Genomic DNA, 6,717 nt, shown 5'->3' with positions numbered 1-6,717 from the left:
TCCCTGCCTCCAGACCCTATTCTCCTGCCTCAAGCATACAACCTTTATTTCCAGCTAAAATTCCTAGCTAAAAATGTCTAGCAAAATTCCTAGAAATAAGTGAATTAATGAAGACAAAATGAAGCAATACAAAGATACGTGATGGGAAGAGGGCAGATCTTACAAAAGACATATTATATTCCAGAATGACAATGGTAAATATTACACAAATATGTACAATTGACAAAAATACAATAACAATTTAGTGGAGAAAGGATAATCTTTTCAATAGGAAAATGAAACCTGACCTAACTTTCACCTTATGCAAAAATAAACTTAAATATGTTATAGATATATATGTAAATCTAAAACTATGAAACTTTTTGGAGAAAATCTTCCTGAACTGGAATTGGGCAAAGAGTTTTCAGACATGGTGCCAAAAAACGACAGAACTGATCAATCAAACTTCATCAAAATAAAAAACTTTTGCTTTGTGAAAGTAATTGTAAAGAGAATGAAAATACCAGCAATAGCCCAGGATAAAATGTTTGCAAAAAATATATCTGACAATAGAGTTGTATCCGGAATATATAAAGAACTCTCAAAATCCGAGACTTGGAATATAAACAATCCAGTTAAATATGTCAAAATATTTGAACAGATGCTTCACCATAAGATGTAATGATGACAAGCATATGGAAAACTATTCAGTATTATAAGCCATTAAAGAAATAGAAAGTAAAACCTCTATAATACAACTACACATGTAAAAGAATGGCTAAAAGATAAAACACACACACACACACACACACACACACACACACACACACATTACCAACTACTGGCAAGGATGCAGAACAACTGGAATTATCACATTGGGAAAGAAAAAATGTACAGCCACTCGAAAACAGTTTGGCAGTTTCTTATAAAATTAAACATACGCTCACTATATGACATGGATACCTCATTCTTTGCTATTTATCCAAATAGAATGGAAATTTATATTCACACAAAACCCAATAGGCTAATGTTTCTAGCAGCTCTATTCATAATTACCAAAAACTGTAGCCAACCCAAATCTCCTTCAATGAACAAACAACAAGAGATACATCCATACAATGAAATACCATTCAGCACTATAAAGGAACAAGCTGTTGATTGACTCAGCAGCTTGGCTGCATCTCAGTAGTATTAAGCTAAGTGTAAGAAGACAATTTCAAAAGGTCACATACTGTATGATTCCCTTTACCTTATAGTCTTGAAAAGAGAAGACTACAGTAATAGAGAATAGATCAGTAATTGTTAGGATTGGGGTGAATGAGAGTTGTGACTGAAGGGATAGAATGAGAGAGTTTTTTAGATGACCAAATGGTTCTGTATCCTAATTGTGGTGCTGGTTACACAAATGAATATTTGCTAAATTTATAGAATTGCACACACACACACGTCAACTTTCCTATGTGATAATTTTAAAAAACTTAATTAAAAATTTAAAAAATTATTTTCTGGTGGATTTCAGCAGTTCACAATCTTAATAATGAAGCTATGGGTATTACAACTTTATTGTAATATTACCAATATGCATATATCCTCATAAATGATGTCTTTGCTTTTTTTTTTTTAAATGCTGACAGGCTAAGATTAACTTTGGTGAAAACTCAGCAAGAAAATTGGAATAAAATCAGAAAACCCATTACAGAGGAAGTAATCCAAATATGTAATTTAAAGCAAAATATTATTGAGAGGTATAATTCCAACTGCTCTTTAAAGAGATTGGACTATGCTAAAGTAAAGCACTCACTTGTCATCCAAGTTAAGGTGAATTTGGATATTTTGGTTGGAAGAGAGATTTGGAGTGCTTAAATATTCTGCATCACACAAAAAAGAATGTTTTAAAATGTTGAGGAGAGACAACATAGGGAGCCTGAACTTCTATGTCTTCTTCACTCAGCAGTAATGAGGTGTGCTGCTCCTTCCCTGCTGGGGTGGTGTCAGAGGAGGCCAAGTTGAGTGTCAGGACTTATACTACCTGCCAGTAGCAATAAGACCATCCCCCTCATAGTGTCCGTGGAAGTCAGTGGAGGTCACACAGGAGTGGTAACAAGGCACACCTATCCCTCCGAGCCAGGATGGTTTAAGTGGAAGCCTAGTGAGAAACTTTAATTCCCATCCTCACCCATCAGTAATAAGGAGATTGACCTCCCTTTAGGTGTCAGTGGAAGCCAAGTGGTGAACCTGGATTTTTGTCCCTACTTCACATTAATGAGGTGGCACATCTTCTGCAACAGCAGTGTCAGAGAAAGCCAGCTAAGGCAGAATATTTTTAAAAAGATCCAAAGTCTCATAACATAATACAAAATATCTATGTTTCAATAGATAATCATGAATCTTATCAAGAACCAGGAATATCTCAAACTGAATGATAAAAGGCAATCAACAGATGCCAATATCAAGATGATACAAATGTTAGAATTAGCTGAGAGATTTTAAAGCAGCCATCCATAAAAATGCTTCATGAGCAATTATGAACATGCTTAAAACAAAGAATAGAAGATCTTAGCAGATAAATAGAAATTCTCAGCAAAAAAAAGAAGATATAAATTAGAACTAGATGAAAATTTCAGAATTGAAAAAAAAAATCAATGTATGTACTCAACACTAGACAGGAGGGGACAGAGGAAAGAATCAATGAATTGGATGATTAAAAAATAGAAACTATCCAGTCTGAAAAACAGATGAAATAGACGGAAAAGAATTGACAGAGCTTCAAGGACCTGGGAGGATATGACAAAGGAGCTATCATTTGTGTAACTGATTTCCTGGAACCAAAGGAGAAAGAGGACAGAGCTGAAAGAATTCAAATAATTCTTTCAAAGTATTCAAAGAATTAAAGGCCGAGAACTTCCCAAATTTGGCAAGAGACATAAAGCTACATATTCAAGGACTTGAGAGAACCTGAAACAAGATAAATTAAAACTAATTCACACCAAGATCCATCATAGTCCAACTTCTGAAAGCTATAGAAAAAGGAAAATTTTTGAAAGCAGTTAGAGAAACAACAAATTACCTACACCAAAACAAAACAAAACAAAACAAAACAAAAACAACCAACCAAACAAAAAGACTCAAATGGAGAGAATTTCTGATCAGAAACCATAAAGTTACAAGGAAACAATACCACATTTGTAAAGTACTGAACAAAACAACTCAGAATTCTATACCCAGCAAAAATACCCCTCAGGAATAAAAGGGAAAACAAGACATTCTCAGATAAAAGAAAATTAAGAATTTGTTGCCAGCAGACTTACCCTAAAAGAATGGCCAATAGAAGTTCTTTCTGAATGTCTATGTCCACTCCACCCAGCAGTAATGAGGGGCCCAGCTCCTCCCCTGCTGGGATGGGGTCAGAAGAGGCTGAGTTGCATGTCAGGACTTATATTGCCAGCCGGTAGTAATAAGACCACCCCACTTATAGGCTCAGTGGAAGTCACATAGGAGTGGCAACGAGACATACCTCTCCCTCCCAGACAGGAATGTTCTCTTAAAAAGGAAACAGTACCAGAAAGAAGCTTGAAATATCAGGGAGGAAGAAAGAAAATTGAATGTGAAAATAGAGGTAAATAAAATAGATTTTCCTTCTCTGGAGTTTTAAAAGTTATGTTTGGTTAAAATGAAAATTATATCTGTCAGTGCTATAAGGGTTGATGTGGTTTTAAATTTGTGTAGAGGAAATATTTAAGACAATTATGTTATAAAAGAAGGAGGATAAAGGGATATAAATGGAGGTAAGATTTCTACTCTTTACTCAAACTGGTAAACTGATGACACCTAGACTATGATGAATTTTGTATATATAATACTTACCACAACCACCAAAAATCTATACCAAAATCTACATCTAAAATGAAACAGAAAAATCAAAATGGAATTTGAAAATATGTCCATGTTACCCATAGTAAGGCATGAAAAAGAGAAACACAAAAAAACAGATAAAATAGAAAAGAAATAAAATAGCAGATTTAAGTCCTAGCATATTAATAATTACATAAAACATAAATGGTCTAGATATACCAAATCAAAACAGATTGCAGAGTGGATGTCATAACATGACCTAAATATATGCTGTCTAGTAGAAATTAACTTTAAATATAGGCAGGTAGAAAATAAACAAATGGGAAAGAATAATCATGCAAGTATTAATTAAAAGAAACCAGGATTGGGTATATTAATATGAGGTAAGGTAGGCTTCTGAGAAAAGAAAATGACCAGAGAAAGAGAGAGACATAATATGATGATAATCCTACAGCTAACTTTGTACTTAATGGTGAAAGACTGACTGCTTTATCTATAGGTTTGAAAATAAGGTAAATATGTCCACTTCCTTTTATTAACACAATGCTATAACTAGCCAGCACAATAAGGCAAAAAGAGGAAATAAAAAGCATCCTGATTGGAAAAAAAAAGAAATAAAATGTCTTTCTTTGCAGAAGACATAATTGTCTATGTAGAAATTCCAAGGAGTCTACAAAAATCTCTTAGAACTAATAAGTGAGTTCAGTCAGATCATAAAATATAAGATATACCTACAAAAATCTATTGCATTTCTATATACTAGTAATGAACACGCAGGCACTGAAATTAGTAGCAAAAAGCCATTTACAACTGGAAAAAAAGTGAAATAGCAGTAAGTATAACAAAATATGTATAGGATTTGTATATTCAAAGCTATAAATGCTGATAAAAAAATCAAAGATCAAAGTAAGTGAAGAGATATATGTGTTTATGGATTGGAAGACTCATATAGTGAATACATTACTTCTTCCTAAATTGATATATAGAAATAATGTAATTTCTATCAATATCTCAGAATTTTTTTGTAGATATAGAAAAGATTATTCTAAAATTTATGTGGAAAAGCTAAGGAACTAGAATAGTTAAAATAATATAGGAAAGAAAGAGTAAAGTGAAGAAATAAGTCTACCAAATTTTAAGGCTTATTATATATTTATAATAATAAAGATTGTTAAGTATTGGTAGAAAGATAGATAAACAGATCAATAGGACAGAATAGAGAAACTAAAATAGTCACAAATATGTCCTACTTATTTTTTAGAGAGATTACGAAGTAATTTGATGGAGAAAGATAGCCTGTTCAACAATTAATGATGCTAGAGCACTTAGAGATTCACGGGCAAAAATAATAATAATAATAAACTTCAACCTAAGTCTCATATCTTATATAAAAATTAAGTCAAAGTAGACTACTCACATAAATATAGGCAGGATTCTTTAAACTAAAATTATGATCCATGAAAAATATGATAAATTGGGTTTCATTAAAATTTAAAACGTCATCAAAATTTAAAATGTTTGACAGCTTATTACTTATAATACTGAATAGGATTCCATTGTGTGGGTGTTCAACAGATTATTTACCTTCTCACTTATTGAATGACTTCTTGGTTGACTCCAATTTTTACAGACTATGAAGAAAGCTGCTATAAACTTTTGTATGCAGATTTCTTTGTGGACAAAAGTTTTTCATCATTTAGATAAACACCTAGCAGTGTGGTTGCTGGATCATAGGGCAAGAATATGTTTATCTTTGTGTAAAACTGTCCAACTCTCTTCCAAAGTAGCTATACCATGTTGCATCCCAACCCTTAATGATTGAGAGTTCCTACTGTACCACATCTTCACCAGCAATTGGAGTTGTCAGTGTTTTAAATTTTAGCCATTCTAATAACTACGTGGTGGTATTTCATTGTTATTTTAATTTTCATTTTCCTAATAAGAAATGATGAACATTTATTCATGTGCTTATTTGCTATCTATAGATTTTTGATGATGTTGCTATTCAGTTATTTGGCTGATTTTTAAATTGGGTTACTTGTTTTGTTATTGTTGAGTTGTAAGAGTTCTTTGTACATTTTGGATACAAGTTCAATTTCAGTAGCTTTCAGTTCTCTAACTTTGTTCTGTCCAGTATTGTGTTGGCTATTCTAGATGCTTTATCTTTCCATAAAAGCTTTAGAAGCAGTTTGTCAATATTTACAAAATACCTTGCTGAGATTTTGATTAGAATTGTGTGAATCTGTAAATCTGTTGAGAAAAGATGCTATCTTTTTTTTTTTTTTAATTATACTTTAAGTTTTAGGGTACATGTGCACATTGTGCAGGTTAGTTACATATGTATACATGTGCCATGCTGGTGCGCTGCACCCACTAACTCGTCATCTAGCATTAGGTATATCTCCCAGTGCTATCCCTCCCCCCTCCCCCTCCCCCACAACAAGCCCCAGAGTGTGATGTTCCCCTTCCTGTGTCCATGTGTTCTCATTGTTCAATTCCCACCTATGAGTGAGAATATGCGGTGTTTGGTTTTTTGTTCTTGTGATAGTTTACTGAGAATGATGATTTCCAATTTCATCCTTGTCCCTACAAAGGACATGAACTCATCATTTTTTATGGCTGCATAGTACTCCATGGTGTATATGTGCCACATTTTCTTAATCCAGTCTATCATTGTTGGACATTTGGGTTGGTTCCAAGTCTTTGCTATTGTGAATAATGCCTCAATAAACATATGTGTGCATGTGTCTTTATAGCAGCATGATTTATAGTCCTTTGGGTATATACCCAGTAATGGGATGGCTGGGTCAAATGGTATTTCTAGTTCTAGATCCCTGAGGAATCGCCACACTGACTTCCACAATGGTTGAACTAGTTTACAGTCCC

This window comes from Homo sapiens, chromosome 1, assembly GCF_000001405.40.
Source record: "Homo sapiens chromosome 1, GRCh38.p14 Primary Assembly".
NCBI lineage: Eukaryota > Metazoa > Chordata > Mammalia > Primates > Hominidae > Homo > Homo sapiens.
Note: the sequence above shows the minus strand (reverse complement) of the source record.